Source organism: Homo sapiens, chromosome 10 (genome assembly GCF_000001405.40).
Source record: "Homo sapiens chromosome 10, GRCh38.p14 Primary Assembly".
Classification (NCBI taxonomy): Eukaryota; Metazoa; Chordata; class Mammalia; order Primates; family Hominidae; genus Homo; species Homo sapiens.
In genome coordinates this window covers 31907054-31930069 of record NC_000010.11, presented here as the reverse complement: position 1 = coordinate 31930069, position 23016 = coordinate 31907054, and the positions used below count along the sequence as shown (strand labels likewise).

General features: G+C 41.5%; 1 protein-coding gene, 1 long non-coding RNA gene and 1 pseudogene across 11 annotated transcripts in view, besides 1 other annotated feature; 1 reads left to right on the top strand and 2 right to left on the bottom strand.

Annotated features, from left to right (window-relative positions):
- LOC107984219 (uncharacterized) overlaps positions 1-7218 on the bottom strand; it is a 97548-nt gene extending 90330 nt beyond the window's left edge. Inside the window, exons 1-2 of the long non-coding RNA XR_001747415.2 lie at positions 2027-7218; positions 1248-1408 (exon numbers count right to left, since the gene is read on the bottom strand). This is a non-coding gene — a long non-coding RNA (uncharacterized LOC107984219). The remainder of the gene's footprint in view (positions 1-1247; positions 1409-2026) is intronic.
- Positions 1068-1567: a silencer, noted in NCBI's record as "silent region_2280". NCBI's record gives its function as "represses an Ori minimal core promoter by ATAC-STARR-seq in GM12878 lymphoblastoid cells {active_cell/tissue: GM12878}" and the evidence as "EXISTENCE:reporter gene assay evidence [ECO:0000049][PMID:35858748]".
- The window catches only part of ARHGAP12 (Rho GTPase activating protein 12), a 123479-nt gene continuing 101656 nt past the window's right edge, over positions 1194-23016 (top strand). For 6 of the 10 annotated variants that reach the window (XM_017016954.3, XM_047426021.1, XM_011519761.3 and 3 more), the window contains exons 1-3: positions 1194-1387; positions 19507-19545; positions 21144-21898. In XM_017016954.3, coding sequence (XP_016872443.1) covers positions 21215-21898 — 684 coding nt within the window. In that variant the 5' untranslated portion in view covers positions 1194-1387; positions 19507-19545; positions 21144-21214. Of the gene's footprint in view, positions 1388-19506; positions 19546-21143; positions 21899-23016 lie in introns of those variants that run through there. The other 4 variants (NM_001270698.2, NM_001270696.2, NM_018287.7 and 1 more) reach the window with 2 other exon arrangements.
- HMGB1P7 (high mobility group box 1 pseudogene 7) lies at positions 16316-16921 on the bottom strand (annotated as a pseudogene).

The window sequence follows — 23016 nt, the reverse complement described above, 5'->3', positions numbered from 1 at the left end:
TAAATGGAGACTATCTTAACACTTTAGCTCGCATTAGACTTAATTTAATAAGAAGGTTGTAAACCACAGCTGTTAAAGTCTTGCCACTGCCCTACCGGATTCTTCGCATCCTGTAAGGCACAATTCGGAGTTCAGCTGGTTGATAAGGAAGCCAGGCATTGTGGCATCTTCAAGTACGAAGTGAAGCACAGGAAAGAGCCAACTCCGGAGAGTAGCTCTTCATTGCTTGAATCATACATATGCTTGTTTTTTCCCCCCTCTCCTTTCTGGTCTCTATTATTAACAAATATTTCATCCTGGCACAACAGGCACAATCAACAACTGGTTAAGGAATGAGTAGTTACTGAAGTCCCAACGCCTCTCAGTTATTTTTCTCACACTCACTGTATTCTAGACCTAGAAGCCAGCTCTCATTTGAAAGCTGAGGTTCAGAAGGGTGAAGTGCCAATAAATGGCAGAAGCCAGGTCTCTTTCCTGATTCCCATTCCAGCTGAGCTCCTCCTGCCACTGGATCACCATCAAAGACCTGCCAAAGCTGTTACTTCCGGGTTCGGTGCTGCCACAGTGCAAACGGGGATGACTTTGGACAATGACCCTGTGGCCCCCGCAGGGCTCGCACCCTCAGGCCCGTGGAAGGCTAAATGCTGACGGACTGGTTCTGCCCTGGAGCGGCTCTCCGCGTCCCAGGGGTCTCCTCAGTCCCGAGTGTGCACAGCGGGTCCTGCCACGTACCCTGGCGACCCCAGCAATGGACTCAGTGCCCCGGGTCCCTTTCCGTCTCCCTCAGGCGGCGTGCAGCACTTTTTCGGGTGTCCCAGTGGAATTTCCGGGCCCGTGAACGACTGACCCACGCCCGGCCGCAGCTCCAGGGGCCGACGAAGGGAGCGCTAGGGCCCACGGCAGGGCCGTCTTTGCCCGGGCTCCATTCCTGCCACCCTGGCGCTATGTCCGCCCTTCCCTGGTTTTCCCTACGAGCGTTTTTTTAACGCTTCCCACTCCTTGTTTACAAAGTGCTGAGCCCCCTTGACCGCAGGCTCCCGCGCCGGCCCGAGTTCCCACACCGTACGCTGGCTGCCCCCTATTCGGATCCCCGCCGGGCGCCGCACCCCCTAGCCACCCCAGACCGTCCCGGAGACCCGCGCCCGCCCAGCTCGCCCGGGCCATCACGTGAGCCTCCCGCCCCGCCCCCGCGCGTCACGTGAGCCCCGCCCCCGCGCCGGCGCGCTCCGACGTGCCCTGTAACTTACCCTCCCTCAGAGGCCAGCCTGCGGGGACGGGCCGGCCGCGGCCGTAGCCGTGTGAACGCTCTTCGGGCTCGCGTCGTCGACCCGCAGCCGCGGGGCGGACTAAGAAGGGAGCCGCCTGCTGCGAGGCCGCCGGGCTCCCGGTGAGGTGCAGGGCGCGGGTCCTGGCGGACGGAGGGCAGGTTGGCGAGGCGCTGCACAAAGGCGCGCCGGGGCCGGGCTGTGCCCGCCGAGGGCGGTGGAGTCGGGGGGAGGCGTGTGCGGGAGGCGCGGCGGCGGCGGCGGCGGCGCCGCGGAGGTGCGCGCAAAGGGAGGTCGGGCGCGCAGCGAGGGGCTCTGGGCGCGGGGGTTAGGCGCCGAGGGGGAGGGGGCCGGCGCAGCCTATTGGCTGACGTGGGCGAGAGGGTTTAAATGGCCCGAAGTTGTGGCTTCTCTGCCCCCTGGGTTTCCTGACTTCCTGTGTGAGGGCAGCGCCCGCCCGCCCCGCCCCCAGGGAGGAGAGTGTGAGGGTGCGCGGGTGTGTGTGTGAGTGCGGGAGAGTGCGCGCGTGTGTGCACAAGGCGGGTGTGTGCGTGTCTATGTGCAAAAGGCGGGTGTGTGCGCGCGCGTGTGTCTGCAAAAGGCGGGTGTGTGTGTGTGTGTGTGTGTGTGCGCAAAAGGCCGGCCCGGCCCCTCCCGCGCCCTGGGCCCACTCCCTAATCGCGGTGGGGCTTGCAGGCCTCCACCCACCCGGGGAGCCCACCCGGGGAATCCACCTGGGGCGTCCCTCGAGGACTGTTGACCTTAAACCGGACACTTTCTTCTTTGCGGTCTTTCCCGGTGCCCTGCCCCTGCTGGATGGACGTGCATTCGCTCCCCTCCAGCTTATCTGGGCGGAATCTCCTCAAAGTCCTTGAATTGAAAAATCCTCTTTACCAGCGTGCAGCCCGCCTCCCATCTCAGGGGAGCTGGTTGTCTTCTCAGAACGGCTGTCCTTTACGCGTTGCTATCTTAAGTGACTGCAGACCCTTTGAGAAGAAATGGCCACACGGTCTTCGTTAGAGAAAAAGGCACGCCCTTCAGCTTTCGAGGCGTGTGATGTTTTCCTTTTGACTGCAGCTGCAGTTTTGTAAATGTATTTTCAAAGGCTAAAGCACGACGTTGAAAGTACACCTTTATCGAAAGTTTTAATGTCATCCCAAGTGGAGTGTTTGTTGTGGATAGAGGCTTTTAGCACTCTAATAACACGATTGGTTGTGGCTGGCTTTTGGGTTAATCATGACATTGAGAAGTAGATTTTATCGACTATTTAGGCATGCGTTCCTAAAGGGAGGTGGTGGAGGAAGGAAGGCTCACTCGGGTTCTGATTCAGGTTCTGCCACCCGACTTCTAGAGGTTAGACCTTGGGAGACTCCGGGTGTTTCAATGGAAGTGTTAAAAATAAGTATCTAGCCCCTAGCCACGCCTCTTTCATACTTAAAAGTCGGGAACGATGGCCTAGATGTGTGTGTACTTGCCCATATCGCCTTTTCTTTATCTGTAGGAGGGTGTTTTACAGAATCGGTCATCTTCCTCTACCTCCTCTGGTCTGAATAGGCATTTTGGCTATTTTTATTTTGCCTTGGAAACGTTTCAGAGCTGGGTTTTGAGAGCCCAAAGCAGGCAGTGAAAGCGTGACCCCCACCCATGCCACCTGACGAGCCAGACCGTCTGCGCACATATGTGCGACCCCTGGTTGCATGCGGCTCCACTGTTCTAAAAGTGTTTCTCTGTGGGGGAAAAAGAAACCCCAGAAGTGTAATATAATGTGTGTATGTATATTTATGCGCCAATATTTGTTGATAGATTTCTGTTCGTACTTCATCAAGCTGGAGAAGACTGATGACTCATTGATTGTTAAGATAATGCCGTCTGTATAGTTAGTTATATATATATTAGTTGTTCATATATAATTATCAATACATTGCATCTCTTTCGGTTTTATATTTGCTAATACCAGTTGTTTCGAGGTGCAAATGAAAATAGATTAAGTGCTGTAGAAAAACAGCATGTTACTTGTAGTTAATCATTTGACTTTTCTTTAATTAGAAAGAATCTGCTCAGTGGTTTTTTAGTAGGCTGATAGAAAGTGAACTTTACAAATTTTTAAGTACTCTACGTAAGTGATATTACTGAAAATAATACGGGTGATTAAAATTTTTAAATGGAGTAAAAACTAAATAGTGGTGATCTGTTTAACCATTAAACAGTAGTACTAATATTTTACTTACCTGAGAAAATGGGCATCACAGTTTTACAATAAATCATGGGAGAGAAAAGTGAAATTAAACTTTTGTCCTGTATTTAACAATTTTGGCTAGAATTGCAAATATGCACTATTTTGTAGTATGAATCAGATGTGAAAGGTGTCGTAGTACGACATAGCATCACTGTACTTCAAATCGGGCTTTTCAGATTACCTCTTTTGAGGAACCTATTGGGCCACTATCCTTGTGGTTTTTTTTTTTTTTCTTCAGTTAGCTGGCCCCGGCTCATTGGTATATGGCTTTGCTGTGATTCAGCCATTTCCCTATTACTTTCATTGACTTCATGGACTTAATGAATATTCTGCAGTTTCGTTTTGTAATTGATTAGCTCTTTAATTGAACTGAACTGCCAAATGGTGTAGTCTCTAAGCCTCCTTCCCCTGTTGATAATCTAGTGCTTCTCAAATTTTAACGTGCATAGGAATCACCTGCACTTCTAATATCCACTTGGTCATATGGATGCTGTTCTGCCAGACCACAGACCACTGCTGTCCAATAGAAATGTAATGCCTATATAAATTACTTGTGCTTAAAGTTTCTAGTATTCACATTATAAAAAGTAAGCACGTGGAAAAAAAGTGAAATAAATGAATATATTTTACTTAGTATATTCACAATATCATTTTAACATGTAATAGGAAAATTATTAATGAGATATTTTATGTTCTTTACATTGGACCAGGTTTTTTGAAATATCAAGTGTGTTTTACACTTAGAGCATTTCTCAATTTGCATTAGGCACATTTGACTAGTGACTGCTGTATCGAACAACAGTTTTGGAGTCTAAAAGTGTAGACCAATGTTACTCTTAGTGTATTTTCAGATTGGCCTCATCAGCAATCCTTGAGAATGTAAATTTTAGGGCCCCACCTCATACCGGTTGTTGTTAGAATATCTAGGGCTAGAGCCTGTAATCTGTGGTTTGAAAACGCTCTGGGATATGGCTATACAATGTATATGTGGTATTCTGGATGGGACCCTGGAACAGAAAAAGGACATTAGGAGAATACTAAGGAAATCTGAATGAAGTGTGGAAATTGTTATGTGTCAGTGTTGGTTGATTGAATATGACAAATGTACCATACTAACATAAGTTGTTAATAGGGATAACTGGGTCCAGAGTACATGGGAACTCTGTGGACTATCTTTGCAGTAATTATGTAAATCTAAAACTCTTTTAAAATAAGAAGTTTATTTTTAGAAAAGTTCTTCAGATTATTCCATTGCTCACTAAAAGTTTGAGAATCCAGTGATCTAGATTATTAATCACTTGTACTGCTACAGCTTGTTTGGGCAGGATGGTGGCCAGTATTGGGTCTGGTAGGATGATGATAATAGTTTTTTTGTAGTAAGACCTAAAACTTTTAAAGCACTTGCCATGCTCCATGCACTATTTCAAGTGCCTTACACACATTTACTTAATTCTCCCAGTATGCAGTATGTACTACTAATAAGCTGCACTTTGCAGATGGAAAAAACTGAAGCCCAGAGAGGTTAAATGACTTGTCCAGAGTCACACAGCGAGAGACAGAGACAGGATGTTTTATAAATTATCAGTGCGTTTGTGACTATTTTTCTACTCTCACAACTTTTGCTTCCTTGAGTAAGCACTGATTAATGTAGATACTCTGTGACGTCTGAAAGTTACAAAGTTTTTTTTCTTTCTTCTCACAAACATCTTTTGAGGTTTGTATTGTTTGCTTTGTTTTACAGGCAAGTTAAGGTGCCTAGGGTCCTGAGAGCTGATAAATGGTAAAGCCTAGATTTAAAATTTAGACCTCTGACTCCAAGTTCTGTGCTCTTTTCCTTCCCCACAGCAGAATTCAGAATATGTTATGAGGTTAGAGTGACATCTTTTAAAGTTGGCTGAAAATTTCCTATATTTTGCTACATAATATATATTTTTAAATTTCAGTTTTATTAAAGTGTAATGTACATACATAAAATAAACTAACATTCAACAATAAAAAAGAATGATCTATGGAGACAACATGAGTGAATCTCAAAAGCATTAATCTAAGTGAAACATGTCAGACACAGAAGGCTACATACTATATGATTTGTATTTCTCTATTACAGCTTTTGCTTCCTTGAGTAAGCAGTGATTAATGTGATACCATCTATCATGCTTTATATCTAAGTGCTTTTTTTCGTGTTTTCTCTTTCCGTTCTTACAAGGATCTTTTGAGGTTTGTACTGTTTCCTATTTTAGAGATGGATTGTACCACAGTTTGTATTCACAAGTTCATAGGCCTTTGAGTTTTCAATTTCTGGCCATTATGAATGTTCATGTAAGGCCTTTGTGTGGACTTATGTTTTCATTTCTCTTGGGTAAATACCTAGAAGAGGGATTGCTGGATCATGTAGTAAGCGTATGTTTAACTTTATTAGAAATTACCAAATTATTTTCCGCAGTGGTTGTACCATTTTGCATTTCCACCAGCAATGAAGAGAATTCCAGTTGCTGGTATCTTTACCATACAAAACATTCTGTGTTTTTGAAAGCCATCCAGTAGGTGAGTAGTGATACCTGGTTGTTTTAATTTGCATCATTAGGGTTTTAACAGTTTTTTTAAAAAAATACAGTTTTGAGGTATAATTGCTGTATAACAAGCTGCACATATTTTTTAAGTGTACAATTTGAAGAGTTTTGACATATGTATATACCTGTGAAGCCACTACCATTTTCAAGATAATGAACATTTCTTTCACCCATCAAAAATTTCCTTGAGCTCCTATGTGATTCATTCCCCATGTCCCTTGGCAACTATTGCTCTGCTTTCTGTCACTATCAATTAGTTTGATTCTAGGAAATCAATTTTCTAGAATTTTATGCAGATGGACTCGTGTACTATGGATTCTGGTCTGGATTTTTCTTCACTCAAGAAAATTATTTTGAGATTCACCCAGTTTGCTGTGTGTATCAACAGTTCGTTCCTTTTTATTGCTGAGTGATATTCCATTGTGTGGATATACCACAATTAGTTTATTCAATTGTTGATTGACTTGCGAGTTTCTCTTTGTTACAGATGAAACTACTGTCTTTGTGTCTACATATGCTTTAATTTTTGTTGGTAAATACCTAAGAGGAAAATCCCTGAATCATGTGGTAGATGCATATTTAACATTTTAAGCATCTGCCAAACTTATTTCAAATGCTGGTTCAGTTTTACATCCTCACCAGCTTTGTGTGTGAGTTCCACTGGCCCTGCATTCTCAAAAACACTGGTATGACCTGACTTAGCCATTCTGTGAGATGTGTGGTGACATTTCTTTCTTTTTGGTTTTAATTTGCATTTTCCTGATGGCTAAAGATGTTGGGCATATTTTCATGAGCCTATTTACCATCTATAGATCTTTGGACAAGTCTGTTTAAATATTTTGCCTGTTTTTTTTTTTTTTTTTTTTCCTGTTAGGGTCTTGCTCTGTCACCCCAGGCTGCAGTACAGTGGCATGTTCACAGTTCACTGCAGTCGCGAACTCCCAGGCTCAAACAGGCTTCCCACTTTAGCCTCCCAAGTAGCCGTGACTACAGGTGTGTGGCACCATGCCCAGCTAATTTTGTAAACTTTTTTTGTAGAGACGGGTTCGTGCTATGTTGTCCAGGTTGGTTTTGAACTCCTGACCTCAAGTGATCCTCTTGTCTCGACTTCCTAAAACACTGGAATTACAGGTGTGAGCTACCTTGCCTAACCTATGATTTTTTTCTTTTTTATAATGTCTTTGGTTTTGGTGGAATGGAGTTGGGATGTTTTCTCTCTGCTTCAACTTTTTTTTGAGAGATTTATGTAGAATTGGTAGTAACTTCTTTACGTTTTTGGTAAAATTCACCAGTGAAGCCGCCTGGGCCAGTTTTCTTTGTGGGAAGCTTTTAAAGACAAATTCTGTTTATTTAATAGATATAGGAGTATTCAGGTTATCTGTTTATTCTTTAGCAAGCTTTGGTTATTTGTATCTTTCAAGAAATTTGTTAGAAGGGCATGGTAGCATGCACCTGTAGTCCCAGCTATTCAGGAGGCTGAGGCTAGGAGGATTGCTTGAGCCCAGGAATTAGAGGCTGCAGTGAGCTATGATTATGCTTCTGCACTCCAGCCTGGGCAACAGAGCAAGACCCTGTCTCTTAAAAAAAAAAAAAAAATTTGTCTACTTCATGTGGATTGTTGAGTTTGTTGGCATAAAGTTGTTCATAATATTTTCTATTTTCCTTTTGATGTCTTCAGGATCTGTAGTTATGTCTCTGGTTACCTTTTTGATAATTTGTTTCTTTTCTCTTTTGTTCCCATTAGTTTGGCTAGAGGATTGTCAGTTTTACTGATCTGTGCTTTTTTTTTTTTTTTTTTTTTTTTTTTTTTTTTTTTTTGAGGCAGGGTCTTGCTCTGTCTCCCAGGCTGGAGTGCAATGGCATGATCTCAGCTCGCTGCAGCCTTTGCCTCCTGGACACAAGCCTCAGCCTCCTGAGTAGCTGGGACCACAGGCACATGCCAACCACACCCGGCTAATTTTTTGTATTTTTGGTAGATATGGGGTTTCACCACGTTGCCCAGGGTGGCATTGAACTTCTAAGCTCAGATGATCTGCCTGCCTTGGCTTCCCAAAGTGCTGGGATTATAGGTGTGAGCCATTGCACCTGGACAGTTTTACTGCTCTTAAAGAACCAGGCTCTGGTTTCATTGATTTTTCTCTAACATTTTTCTGTTTTCTTTTTATTGCTTTCTGCTCTCATCTTTTTCATATCTTTTCTTCTACAAACTTTTTTTTTTTTTTTTTTTTTTTTTTTGAGATGGAGCCTTGCTCTGTCACCCAGGCTGGAATGCAGTGGCACAATCTCGGCTCACTGCAACCTCTGTCCCCAGGGTTCAAGCCATTCTCCTGCCTCAGCCTCCCCAGTAGCTGGGATTACAGGCATGCACCACCATGCCCAGCTCATTTTTGTATTTTTGGTAGAGACGGGGTTTCACCATGTTGGTCAGGCTGGTATCGAACTCCTGACCTCATTATCCGCCCGACTCTGCCTCCCAAAGTGCTGGGATTACAGGCATGAGCTACCGCGCCCGACCTCTACAAACTTTGGATTTAATTTGCTCCTCTTTACCTTCTTAGAGTGGAAGCTTATGTCATTGATGTGAGACTTTGTGTTTTTTCTGGCATTTAGTGCTGTAAGTTTTGTCTGAGCACTACTTCAGCTGTATCCCACAAATTTTGAAATTACATGTTTTCATTTTCATTCAGTACACATTTCCTGTTTGGTTTCTTTTTTCTTTTTTTGAGACGTTGTTTCACTCTCACCAAGGCTGAAGTGCAGTGTCACAAACTGCAGCCTTGACTTCCTGGGCTCCTGTAATCCTCTTACCTCAGCCTCCCTTAGTAGCTGGGACTACAGGTGCATATCACCATGCCCGGCTAGTTTTTTTAGTTTTTGTAGAGACGGGGTCTCACCAGGAGTTCAAAACTCACCAGGCTGGTCTTGAACTCTTGGCCTCAAGTGATCCTCCCACCTCCGACTCCCAAAGAGCTGGGATTACACGCGTGAGCCACCTTGTCCAGCCTGATTTTGTCTTTTGACTCCTGACTCATTTAGAAGTGTGTTGCTTAGATTCCAAAAACAATTTTGGGGTTTTTAAGATACTTTTTGAGAGTTTCTAATTTAATTTTATTGTGATTGGAGAACATACTTTGCATAATTTCAGTTCTTTTCAGTTTATTGAGGCTTGTTCCATGGCCGAGAATGTGGTATACAGGAACTTAGGTTTGTAAGAAACTACTAAACTGGCTGTGCTATTTAGCACTCTCACTAACACTATGTAAATACTCTAGTTTCTGGAATACTTGCCAGCACTGTTATTGTCTTTTTTAAAACAAAAACAAAAACAAAAACTTTATTGTAGTTGATGTGTAGTGATACCTAATTTGGGCTTTAGTTTACATTATTGATTTTTATTCTTGTTAAAATCAATTTGAATAAAACTTACAAATCGTGGATTTTTTTTTTCCAGTAGATGACAAAATGTGCTGAGGGATTGGTAATAGTTCATCATTTGTATGCTGCGTAAGTGCTACTTTTCAGTTTTCTTTTTTTTTTTTTTTTTTTTTTGAGACGGAGTCTCACTCTGTCGCCTAGGCTGGAGTGCAGTGGTGCAGTCTTGGCTCACTGCAACCTCTGCCTCCTGGGTTCAAGCGATTCTCCTGCCTCAGCCTCCCTAGTAGCTGGGATTACAGGCACCCACCACCACGCCTGGCTAATTTCTGTATTTTTAGTAGAGTGAGGTTTCACCATGTTGGTCAGGCTGGTCTGGAACTGCCGACCTTGTGATCCGCCCACCTCTGCCTCCCAGAGTGCTGGGATTACAGGTGTGAGCCACTGCGCCCGGCTAATTTTCAGTTTTCTAAGAGTTTGAATGTTTGTTTGCTTTTTAGTATTTACTTTTTTTTTTTTTTGAGACAGAGTCTTGCTCTGTCACCCAGGCTGGAGTGCAGTTGCGCGATCTCGGCTCACTGCAACCTCCGCCTCCCAGGTTCAAGCGATTCTCCTGCCTTGAGTAGCTGGGATTACAGGCATGCCACCATGGCCAGCTAATTTTTGTATTTTTAGTAGAGATGGGGTTTCACCATGTTGGTCAGGCTGTTCTTGAACTCCTACCTCGTGATCCACCCACCTCATCCTCCCAAAGTGCTGGGATGACTGGCGTGAGCCACCGTGCCTGGCCAATATTTACTTGTTTTTTGTTTTTTTTGGTTTTGTTTTTTTTTTTGAAATGGAGTCTTGCTGTGTTGCCCAGGCTGGAGGTGCAGTGGTGCGATCTCGGCTCACTGGAAGCTCCACCTCCCTGGTTCACACCATTCTCCTGCCTCAGCCTCCTGAGTAGCTGGGACTACAGGTACCCACCACCATGCCCAGCTAATTTTTTTGCATTTTTAGTAGAGACGGTTTCACCGTGGGAGCCAGGATGGTCTTGATCTCCTGACCTTGTGATCCGCCCACCTCAGCCTCCCAAAGTGCTGGGATTACAGGCGTGAGCCACCGCGCCTGGCCCTATATCTACTTTTAAAGAGGATTTGTAAGAGCTTCATGAGGATTTTAGTTACTTGTGGCTTTTGAGTAGATGGGTATAAGGTGATTTAAATTGTATACTACAGTGTCTTTAGTGAAATATATATAACATGAAATTTACTGTTTTAACCATTTTTGAGTGCACAGTTCTGTGGCATCAAATAAATTAACTTTGTTGTCCAGCCATCACCACCCTTCATCTCCAGAACTTTTTCATCTTTCTAAACTGAAACTCCATACCCATTAAGCAGTAACTTCCTGTTGCTGTCTTTCTCCATCCCTTGGTAACCACCATTCTGCTTTCTGTCTTTATGAATTTGACTACTCTAGGTACCTTATATACATGAAATCATATAATGTTTGCCCTTTGTGACTGGCGATTTCCCTAAGCATAAATAGTCTTCAGAGTTCATTCACATTGTACTGTCAGAATTTCCTTCCTTTTTAAGGCTGAATAATATTTTATGTATGTATCACATTTTGTTTATTCGTCCATTGATGGATATTTAGTTTGCTTCCACTTTTTGACTATTGTGATTAATGCTGCTGTGAACATGGATATACAAATATCTGTTTGACTTTCTGCTTTCAATTCTTGTGGGTGTATACCCAGAAGTGGAATTGCTGGATAATGTGGTAATTGTATTTTCAGTTTCCTTGAGGAACTACCATACCATTTTCCCTAGTGGCTGTACCACTTTACATTTCCACCAGCAGTGCACAAGAGTTTTAGTTTCTCCACATCCTCACAAACATTTGTTATTTATTTAGTTATATTTATTTATTTGAGACAGGGTCTCACTCTGTTGCTGAGGTTGGAATGCAGTGGCACAGTCACAGCCCACTGCAGCCTCAACTTCCAGGCTTGAGCGATTCTTTCACTTCAGCCTACTGCGTAGCTAGGGCTACAGGCATGTGCCACCAATCCTTGGCTATTTTTTAAATTTTTGTTTGTAGAGACGGGGCCTCGTTATGTTACTCAGGCTGGTCTTGAACTCCAGGGCTCAAGTGATCCTCCTGCCTCGGCCTCCCAAATTACTGGGATTACAGATATGAGCCACTGTACTTGGTCTATTTTTTAATTTAAAAAAAATGATAGCCGTCCTGTTGGGTGTGAAGTGGTATCTCATTGGTGTGTGTGTGTGTGTGTGTGTGTGTGTGTGTGTGTGTGTGTGTGATTTCCCTAATGATCAGTAATATTCAGCATCTTTGCAGGTTCTTACTGGCCGCTTATATACAGATGCTCCTTAATTTATGATGGTATTATGTTCTCATAAACTGATCATAAGTCAAAAATGTTGTGAGTCAAAAATGCATTTAAATTAGCCTGAGCAACATAGCAAGACCCTCATCTCTAAAAAGATTAAAAATTAGCTAGGTGTGGTGGTACGTACCTGTAGTCCTAGCTACTCAGGAGGCTGAGACAGGAAGATTTCTTGAACCCAGGAGTTTAAGGCTGCAGTGAGCTATGATGGTACCACTGCACTCCAGCCTAAGTGACAGAATGAGACCCCCATCTCTCAAAAGAAAAAAAAAAAAGGTATTTGATATTCCAATAAACCCACCATAAAGTCAGGAAATTGTAACTGGAACCATTGCAAGTTGGGAACCGTCTGTATCTTCTTTTGAAAAATGTCTGTCAGGTTCTTTGCCCACCATGACTCTTGATATCCCAATGTTTATTTGAAGTAAACTGGCATAATTTAAACATTATAGAGTGTTTTCTCCTTTTTTTGGGTGAGTTACTGATGTCTGACACTAGAACTTTGCAGTGGCCAGACTTAAATAATTGCTGCACTAACAGATGTATTTGCCTTTGTTTTGTGGATTATATCTTTTTAAAACATGGGGGATTGGTAAACACATGCAAGTAATTGAATGTAAGTGATATTTAGAAGATTTTCTTTAAGAGAGTAATGTGTATAGTTTCAGAATACCTGAATGGGTTGGGGAGGAGAAGATACCTGGGTAGCCAGTAGTGTTGTGAAGTGAATGTTTTTCTTCTAGAATAAGTTGTTAGGAGATCGAAAGTTTCATTGAACTTTTATAAAGACTAGGGTAATGATTTCTTTTCTTTTTTATTTTTTTGAGACTAAGTCTTGCTCTGTTGGAGTGCTGGAGTGCAGTGGTGCGATCTTGGCTCACTGCAACCTCTGCCTCCTGTTCAAGATATTCTCCTGCCTCAGTCTCCCGAGTAGCTGGGATTACAGGCACGTGCTACCACGCCTGGCTAATTTTTATATTTTTAGTAGAGACGAGGTTTCACCGTGTTAACCAGCATGGTCTCGATTTCCTGACCTCATGATCTGCCCGCCTCAGCCCCCCAAAGTGCTGGGATTAACAGGTGTGAGCCATCGCGCCCGGCCTGGGATTATTAATTTTAAACAAGTACTTTAAAAAATACTCGGAGGATTTGATGCGAAGTTCAGTGCTTAAACTGGAAAAGTTTCTTAATATTTTATATGTTTGAAGCTATATTAACATTTTATAGTTCACAATATTAGCATTGCTAAATAGGTTATACGTATCTGGATTGGACTTAAATTGTAAGCTCACTAATTAAGATACATTATGTTTCGGCTGGGCGTGGTGGCTCACACCTGTAATCCCAGCACTTTGGGAGGCCAAGGCGGGCGGATCACAAGGTCAGGAATTCCAGACCAGCCTGGCCAACATGGTGAAACCCCATCTGTACTAAAACTACAAAAATTAGCTAGATGTGGTGGCGGGCACCTGTAGTCCCAGCTGCTTGGGAGGCTGAGGCAGGAGAATCGCTTGAACCCGGGTGGCAGAGATTGCAGTGAGCCAAGATGGCGCCACTGCACTCCAGCCTGCGTGACAGAGGGAGACTCCATCTCCAAAAAAAAGATACATTATGTTTCTTTAACGTTTTGTTTACCTGTTTACTTTTTTTGATATACCTCTTAAACAGATTGGTTGGTTAAAACGGATGTCCTGGGGGAGAAAGACAACATTTGCTGAACTGTTTAAGTTTTGGTAGGCTTCTTGGTAGTTTAAATGGGAAGAAAATTTTAAAAATTGGCAGATAGAAAGGAGGAGGCTTTTAGATTAAAAAATAGCGTGATAGGAAATTTGAATCTGACTTGGGGGCAGAGAAGTAAAATATATAAGCAGGCGTGTGTGTCGGGGGTGGTGGTTGTTGAAACGTGGAAAAAGGGAGGAGGAAGAAGACTGGTAAGAGGCATGAAAAGCTTGTATGGGCGTTTTTGAGACTGCTAAGAGCAGCATCGGGGTGTAGCAGGCAGTAGGTATGCAGACCTTGTATATACTGGGAGTTGGGTACTTAGTAGTTGTAAGTGTTTGGGATGAATATGGATGGAGGCGTGTGGTGATGGGTATAGTATAGAATACATTTCAGTTCCAGGAGTATTGTGCTTGGACAGCGTTGTATTTGATTGAGCAAACTTTTAACCAAAATACTTTATAGAAACAGGATAAACAGCGTTCAACTTTCTCTTAAGAACAGAATCTACAGGTCTGGGGAACAGAGGAAGAAACAACCCAAAATTAAAACTGTAAACGTTTGTTTTAATACAGCTTATGTTTTTAAGTAAAAATAGCATTAATTATTCACACATTTGTAGATACTGTTACCTAGATCTAAAGTTTTAGTGCTACCCCATAATCATTTTAATTATTTTTTTCAGAGAATTTATCTGATTTTTGTCCTTTCTGTGAAGTTTGTTTCATTTTTTTAAACGTAAATTATTTCATGATTCCATTTCCACATTCTCAGCACATTTTTAAAAAATTGATAACACTGTATGTTTTTTATTATGTACAATATAGTTTTTGAAGTATATATACGTAGTGGAATGGCTAAATTTAGCTAATTTACAAATGCATTACCTCACATAGTTATCATTTTAGTGGTGAGAGCACACATCCACTCTCTTTACAGTTTTCAAGAATACAGTATATTGTCATTTACTGTAGTCACCTTGCTGTACAATAGATCTCTTGAAATTTATTCCTCCTATTTGACTATGATTGTATGTCCTTTGAGCAACATCTCAGTATTTCTCCCCTAGGCCCTTAGCCTCTCGTTACCACCATTTTACTCTCAACTTTTTTTTTTTTTTTTTGAGACAGAGTTTCACTGTTGTTGCCCAGGCTGGAGTGCAATGACGCTATCTTGGCCCACCACGACCTCCGCCTCCCGGGTTCAAGCAATTCTCCTGCCTCAGCCTCCCAAGTAGCTGAGATTACAGGCATGCGCTACCACGCCTGGCTAATTTTGTATTTTTAGTAGAGACGGAGTTTCTCCATGTTGGTCAGGCTGGTCTCGAACCCCCGACCTCAGGTGATCTGCACGCCCCGGTCTCCCAAAGTGCTGGGATTACAGGCATGAGCCACTGCGCCTGGCCTCAGCTTCTAAGAGATCAATATTTTTAGATTCCACATGTGAGTGAGACCATGTGGTGTTTGTCTTTCTGTGCCTAGCTTATTTCATTCAACGTAACGTCCACTGGGTTCATTCATGTTGTTGCGAATGGCAGGATTGCCTTCTTTTTTATGGCTAAGTAGTATCCTGTTGTGTGTATGTGTGTATGTATATACACTTTATCCTTTAATGGACAGTTAGATTAATTCTATATCTTGCCTATTTCGAATACTGCTGCAGTAAATGTGGGAGTGCAGATATCTCTTCACATACTGATTTCATTTCCTTAGAATATATGCCCAGTAGTGGAATTGGTGGATCATATAGTAGTTCCATTTTTAATGTTTTGAGGAACTTCCATATTGTTTTCCATTATGGCAATACTAATTTTCATTAACACCAACAGTATATAAAGGTTCCCCTTTCTCCACATTCTCGCCAGCTTATATTTTGCCTTTTTGATAATAGCCATTCTAACTGGGGTGAGGTGCTTTCTCATTGTGGGTTTGATTTGCATTTCCCTGATTAGTGATGTTGAGCATTTTTTTCTTACACTTATTGGCTTTTTGTGTGTCTTCTTTTGAAGAACATTTATTTGGGGCTTTTGCCCATTGTTAAATTGGATTATTTGTTTTTTTTTTGCTATTGAGTTATTTGATTCCTTATCCTTTTTGGATGTTAGCCCCTTGTCAGATGTATAGCGACATGCAGAGGAATGAAGCTAGATTCTCTCTCACCATATAAAACAGTCATTTTATATTTAATTAGAGAATTAAATATAAAACCTGAAACTATGAACCTACTATAGAAAGAAAACATAGGGGAAATGCTTCATGACATTAGTCTGGGCAAGGACTTTTGGATATGACCTCTAAAACACAGGCAACGAAAGCAAAAATAGCAAATGGCATTATTATTATTTTCTTAATAAAAAATTGTATTAGAAGCATTCAGAATTTTAACAAACAACTGCAGCTTTTGTTTTTGCAATTACAGAGTGGTATTTAGTTTAGTTAACAGAACAATTATTTCATGTAAGCTGCATAGAGACAACAACTGAAGATGAAGAAACTACCATCTCCATAAGTAACTGATTTGTGCTGTGCACCAAGTACCTTTAAATTTCCATGCCATTTTACAACCCCCGTGCTATACCAAGAAGGTTAGTGGCTATTGAAAATACCACCAGGACAGGGCTATCTAAAGACATGTTTGGTAGTGTATTAACTGTACAAAAAAAGACACTGTACAGTTTGAAAACAAATCTTATACAGCCTTACATTTCAATTCTTTCTTCAAAAAAAAAAAAAACCCTGCTAGAACCAACTGATTTGTCATCATCTTCATGTTTATCTTTATTTTCCTCTTCTTCCTCATTCTCTTCATTTTCCTCATCTTTCTTCTTTTTCTTGCTTTTTTTTTCAGCCTTGATGACTCGTGTTTTTTTTTTTTTGCAGCATCAGGCTTTCCTTTAGCTTGGTATGCAGCAATATCCTTTTTGTATTTTTCCTTCAGCTTCACAGCCATCTTTCCATAAGGTTGCTTGTCACCTGCAGCTCTCCCAGTTTCTTTACAGTATATCCAGTGGATAGGCCAGGATGTTTACCTTTGATTTTTGGCCCATACTCAGAACAGAACAAGAAAAAGGCCAAACAAAGGAGGCCCGTTGGGTGTATTGGGATCCTTGAACTTCTATTTTGTTTTCCCTTTAGGAGGGGTGTAGGCTTTCATTTCTCTTTCATAATGGGCCAGGGTTATCTTTGCCTGTCTTCACATTTTCCCTTCTCTTTAGCAAACGTGGTTTTCCACCTCTTTGAGCGCTTCTTAGAAAGACCCTTAGAAGCTGACTGAACCATCTGGGTGCTTCCTGTGCTCCTCCTGGCAAGTTTGCACAAATAATGTGTATAATGACATTTTTGCCTCTTGACTTCTTTGGATCTTTGCCCGTGTTCAGTTATTTTTCCTCATCAAGGCATAGAGTTGCTCAGTGCCTTTCTGGCTCACACTTGCCCTGGCGTTGTTTCTGTGGAGCTCAGTGTACGGCCGACACATGGCATTATATCAAACTGAGACGCTTCTGCGTGGCAAGGGAAACAGTCAACAGAATGAAGAGATGACCTATATAATGGGAGAAAATATTTGTAAACTATATGTCTAACAAGGGGTTAATATTTTCATTGTTTCTGAATGAATAATTTATAATAAGTTTTTTTCTTTCATTTTTATGTGGCTCTTCCTAGACCTTGGATTGTAACATGTAGTTCCTGCTATGTGGCTTTCTGCATGTTTATAATTTTAATAGTTTCTCTTGGAGCTTCCCAACCTGTTTCCCCACCCTTCACCCCGGTATTGACTAGAAATCTATCTCAGCTCTTACTTTCTATCCCATTGTCTCCACTCTTGCTCATTTTACCTGCCTTGGTATCTAACCACCTTTTCTATAGAGATACCTTTTGACCACTTATCCATCTCCTTTGCCCTCCTACTTCTCATTGCCTTTAACTAAAACTCTAGATTGGATGTCTCATGTTGAACATAGTAAAACCGACTTGCTTTATCTTTCTCCCTAACTCCTCCTTCATACTTATCTTTGTAGTCACTGTGGGGAAGGTGTAGTCCTAAAGCCTGGCAGTGAAAGAGATTGAATGTGGACTGGCCTTTAACTCATTGTTGTCCCCAGCCCCACAATTCCTCTCCCACTAGTGTGAAACCGTACAGCTCACTTGTTATTCTTCATCCTTCTTTTCTCCATTCTTAGGGATAAATGTCTAACTAACTATAGTATGTCTGAGCTGCTGTAACCTTTTGAAAAGTAGCTGCATATTCCCTCGCTCATCTCTGTATCTTCAAAGATATTTCTTAAGTTATTTTATTACTTTCCTGGAAAAAAAATCACCTAAGGATAAGCATTTCAGGGTAAAATTTTGAAAAGTTGTGAAAAATTTGTATAGGTAAATGATCAAAGCACATAGTGACTAGCGTTCTGGTAATGCATGAAAGTAACGACTGAGCGTCTGAAAGGTCAGAATTCCTGTTTACTGTGATGGAAGAGACCATGGGGTGAGCATATTTGGCAGAGCTCGGGTAGGGTAGAGATGGGAATACATTTTGGTTATGATAAGTTTGAGGTATTTATTGGACCACCAAGTAGATTTGGTTATTATGTATTAATAGTCTTTTTTAGTCTAGAAGAATCCCCCTCCCTTGACAGTACTTTTTTGAAGAGTTCAGGTCTGTTGTCTAATAGAATGTCTCACATTCTGGATTTGTTTGATTGTTTTCTAATAATTGCTTAAGGTGAAACATGCTTTTGACAAGAATATAACGTAGGTGACATTGTGTATGTTTTATTGCATCACATAGGAGGCATATCTTGTCAGGTCGCATTAGTGCTCTTAAGTTTGATCATTTGGTTAAGCTTATGCCACCACATCTTTCCATTGTTAAGGTATTTTATCCTATTTAAGATTAGTAAGTAGGCTGGGTGTGGTCGCGCCTGCAGCCCCAGCACTTTGAGAGGCAGAGGTGGGTGGATCACATGAGCCCAGGAGTTTAAGACCAACCTGGGCAACATGGTGGAACCTCATCTCTAAAAAAATACAAAAATTAGCAGAGTGTGGTGGTGTGCAACTGCAGTTCCCGCTACTCGGGAGGCTGAAGTGGGAAAATTGCTTGAGCCCAGGAGGTGGAGGTTGCAGTGACCCAAATTGTACAGCTGCACTCCAGCCTCCGTGACAGAGTGAGACTGTGTCTCGAAAGTAAATAGCCAGGTGCGGTGGCTCATGCCTATAATCCCCTCACTTTGGGAGGCTGAGGCAGGCGGATCACCTGAGGTCAGGAGTTCGAGACCAGCCTGGCCAACATGGCAAAACCCCATCTCTAATAAAAATGCAAAAATTAGCTGGGCATGGTGGCTCATGCCTGTAATCCCAGCTACTTGGAAGGCTGAGGCAGGAGAATTGCTTCAACCTGGGAGGCAGAGCCTGCAGTGAGCCAAGATCGTGCCACTGTACTCCAGCCTGGGCAACAGAGACTCTGTCTCAAAAAATAAATAAATAAGATAAAAAAATAAATAAAATAATTAGGAAGTAATCAGGGGACAAATGTGTTAGGACACCTAATAACTTTTAACATACGTTTTTATTCTCTTTACCCATTCAATACATAAACTTGAAAAACAGTTATTTCATCCTCACAGTTTTATAATAGAAGAGATGTTTGTTGTATAATCAGAAGTTTAGAAAGATGCTTGTCAGAATTAAAAATAAGGGACAAAATGAAGTTTGAGACAGTGTGGAAGTACAGTGGGAGAGGGCAGTGGTAAAGCCAGCCTCAGTGGCTGTTGGTGGTTGTGTTTGCATGTATTTGGAGGGCGGTGCTGACCACAATCTTGATGTATAAAACTTTCCTGATTCCTTATAGCTATTATAAAAAAAGTTTTGCTTTTAAAAATGTAAGCAACATTATATTCTTAGTCTTCAGCGATCTTGGTTTGAGTTAATGAACTTATTTATTTTTTTACAGGTTTAAATGTGATACTGGTGTAGATCTCCTTGTTCTAAGGTAATTTTTTATTTTTTGAAAATGTGTTGTATTAAATTTGTTAGTCAAGTAGTTTGTCTAGAAAGTAAATTTCAGTTAACAAAATTGTATCAGTGACTAATTGACTTACCACCTGGCCTTATAGGCGTTATCTGTCATAGAGAAGATTGTTATCCTCAGGAGAATGATGGTTACTACACCTGTAGTGTAGAATAATATGCTCAGTACTTGTTTGCTATAGAAAATTAGTAGGTTGTTATGGAACCTTGGGTTTGCACATTTTTGGTAAATCTCAGTTTGCCTTAGGATCCTTGAGCATTGGGTTGAATGTATTAGTTTCCTAGGGCTGCTGTGACAAATACTACAAACTGGAGTGCTTAAACAGCAGACAGTTATTTTTATTCTCTCACTGGTCTGGAGGCTAGAAGTCCAAAATCAGTTTTGGCAGGGCCGTGCTCCCTCGGAAGGCTCCAGGGGAGAACCCTTCCTTCCTCACCCCTGCCTGACTTCTGGTGGTTGCCAGCAGTCCTTGGTGTTCCTTGGCTTTTAGCTGCTTCACTCCACTCCAGTTTCTGCCTCTCTCTTCAGATGGTCTTCTCCCTCTGTAGCTTTCCTCTCTGTAAATCTCCTCCTTTTTTTCTTTTTATTTTGAGACAAAGTCTCACTCTGTCACCCAGGTTGGAGTGCAGTGGTGTGATCTTGGTCCACCACAACTTCAGCCTCCTGGGCTCAAGAGATCCTTCCACCTCAGCTTCCCAAGTAGCTGGGACTACAGGTGCATGCCACCACACCCAGCTAATTTTTGTAATTCTTGTAGAGGCAGGGTTTTGCCATGTTGGTCAGGCTGCTCTCAAATTCCTGGGCTCAAGCAATCCACCTGCCTCAGCCTCCCAAAGTGTTGGGAATATAGGTGTAAGCCACTGTGCCCTTAATCTCCCTCTACTTATAAAGGCACCAGTCATTGGATTTTGGGGCCCACCCTAATCAAATATGACCTTGTCTTAACTTGATTACATCTGCAAAGACCCTCTTTACAAATAAAGTCACATTCACAGATCCTGGGGTTAGGACTTGAACTGTCTTTTGGGGGAACACAATTCATCCCCAAACAGGTGGGAACTGGCTCATGCTGTAGTGATGTGAGGATGCAGTGATCATTTAAACCCGTAATGCCGTGTTCTAGGAGGTGATCATTTAAACCCGTAATGCCGTGTTCTAGGAGGTACTAAAATATTTTGGAATTGTTATAGAAATGAAAGTAAATGCATATTAGTTATTAGTGAGCCTTTCTAAGAAGGTGAAGGAGGTTTGAGGGAGTAATGAAAGGAAGGAAAGTTCTTCTCAACTCTTGTGTCTACCTGGTTAGTGTATATTTACTGTTCCAGTTATCGGCTTTTGTTTTGGTCATAAGTGACTGAAAAATGTAGATTACAATTAGAATGAAAGTGTTTTTAATGTGGCAGTGCATATGATAGTAGACACATGTTTGCTTTTTGGGGTTTGAGATTTGAAGTAATGTTCTTTAAATGGCCTATACTATATGATGCTTGTGAGTAAATACGAAATCCAGATTGCATTAACTTTTTTCTTCATTCTCTTTCTCCATTTAAATAAAACAGCTATATTCATCCAACAAGCCATAAAGCCATAATGTGGTATAACATCCTTTTTGAGAGGTGAATATTATTGAATGAAAATGGCTGACAGAAGTGGGAAGATTATTCCAGGACAAGTGTATATTGAGGTGGAATATGATTATGAATATGAAGCAAAGGACAGAAAGATTGTGATAAAACAAGGGGAGAGGTACATCTTGGTGAAAAAGACCAATGATGACTGGTGGCAAGTCAAGCCAGATGAAAACTCCAAAGCGTTTTATGTGCCAGCCCAGTATGTGAAGGAGGTCACGCGCAAAGCTCTCATGCCACCTGTTAAGCAGGTAGCTGGTCTGCCAAATAACTCCACGAAAATAATGCAGAGTTTGCATCTTCAGAGATCAACAGAAAATGTGAACAAATTGCCTGAGCTTTCAAGTTTCGGAAAGCCATCGTCATCTGTTCAAGGAACAGGTCTTATTCGTGATGCCAATCAGAATTTTGGACCCAGTTATAATCAAGGTCAGACTGTCAACCTAAGCCTGGACCTGACCCATAATAACGGAAAGTTTAACAATGACTCACATTCTCCTAAAGTTTCCAGCCAGAATAGGACACGCTCATTTGGTCATTTTCCCGGTCCAGAGTTCTTGGATGTAGAGAAAACTAGCTTCTCCCAGGAACAATCTTGTGATTCCGCAGGAGAAGGCTCTGAAAGAATACATCAAGATTCTGAATCTGGTGATGAACTTAGCAGCAGCTCCACTGAACAGATAAGGGTAAGATTAAAAATAGAATGAGGAAACACTGTACCACCCTAGTGAAAATATTAGTTATAGTTTTAATTGAAATATTTGTAAGAGTTAAGACTTGTTTTGCTTTGTATTTTCAGAGTACATGGGTTCTATCCTGATTTAGAGATCTAGAAAATATGTGAAATAACTTGTGGAGTTCATAAAGGGTCACTTTGGTTTTCATAATTATTCTTATACCATGACAGGACTAGATCTACTTTAAGTGAGGAAACTTTTTTTCCCTTTTCTCTATTGATTATGTATAAGGCAGAGGGGATTTACTTAATTTACTCAGTGATGATATTTCTTCTAATAGAAAAAATTTTTACTCTTTTTTACCTGTACCCATTTTGACTTGGTTCCAAGAAGTCTTCAGGTAATAATGGTTATTTGAGGAAAGATGTCCTTGGAATATTAACTGCTAACTTTTGTCTTAAGTGTCTAAGTATCCACACTTGATTTCACTGAGTATTAGTCTGGAAAAATTTTTCTGTGTTCCTGGTTCTTTTTTTTTTTTTTTTTTAAGACAAGGTCTTGCTCTGTTGCCTAGGCTATAATACAGTGGAACAGTCATGGCTCACTGCAGCCTTCACCTCCTGGGCTCAAGTGATCTTCTCACCTCAGCTTCCCCAGTAGCTGGTACTACAGGTGTGTGCCACCACAGCCAGCTAATTAAAAAAAAATTTTTTTTTTTTTTAGAGACAGGATCTCACTGTGTTGCCCAGGCTGGTCACTTCCTGGGCTCAAGTGATCCTTCTGCCTTGGCCTCCCAGAGAGCTGGGATTACAGGTGTGTGCCACTGTACCTGGCTTTTTTTTTTCTTTTTAAACCTTTCTTTTGAGATTAGATCTATGCCATTTTATTTCTCAAGTGAAGTGAAGACATTTTAAAAGTACATACGTGAAATTGAAACTTGAATATATTTTGAAAAGTCTAACTTTAAGTGAATTTAAAAATTAATGAGTTTTTGGCTTGAAGTTCTGTTGTAAGATTATTCATCAAGTCTGGGAATAATTGCGAGGGGTGCCCTTAGGTGTGGTCTGATTGTCATGGAAGTATATTCTTTCTGTAGGTTGTAATTTTTCTTGTGACATTTTGGAATG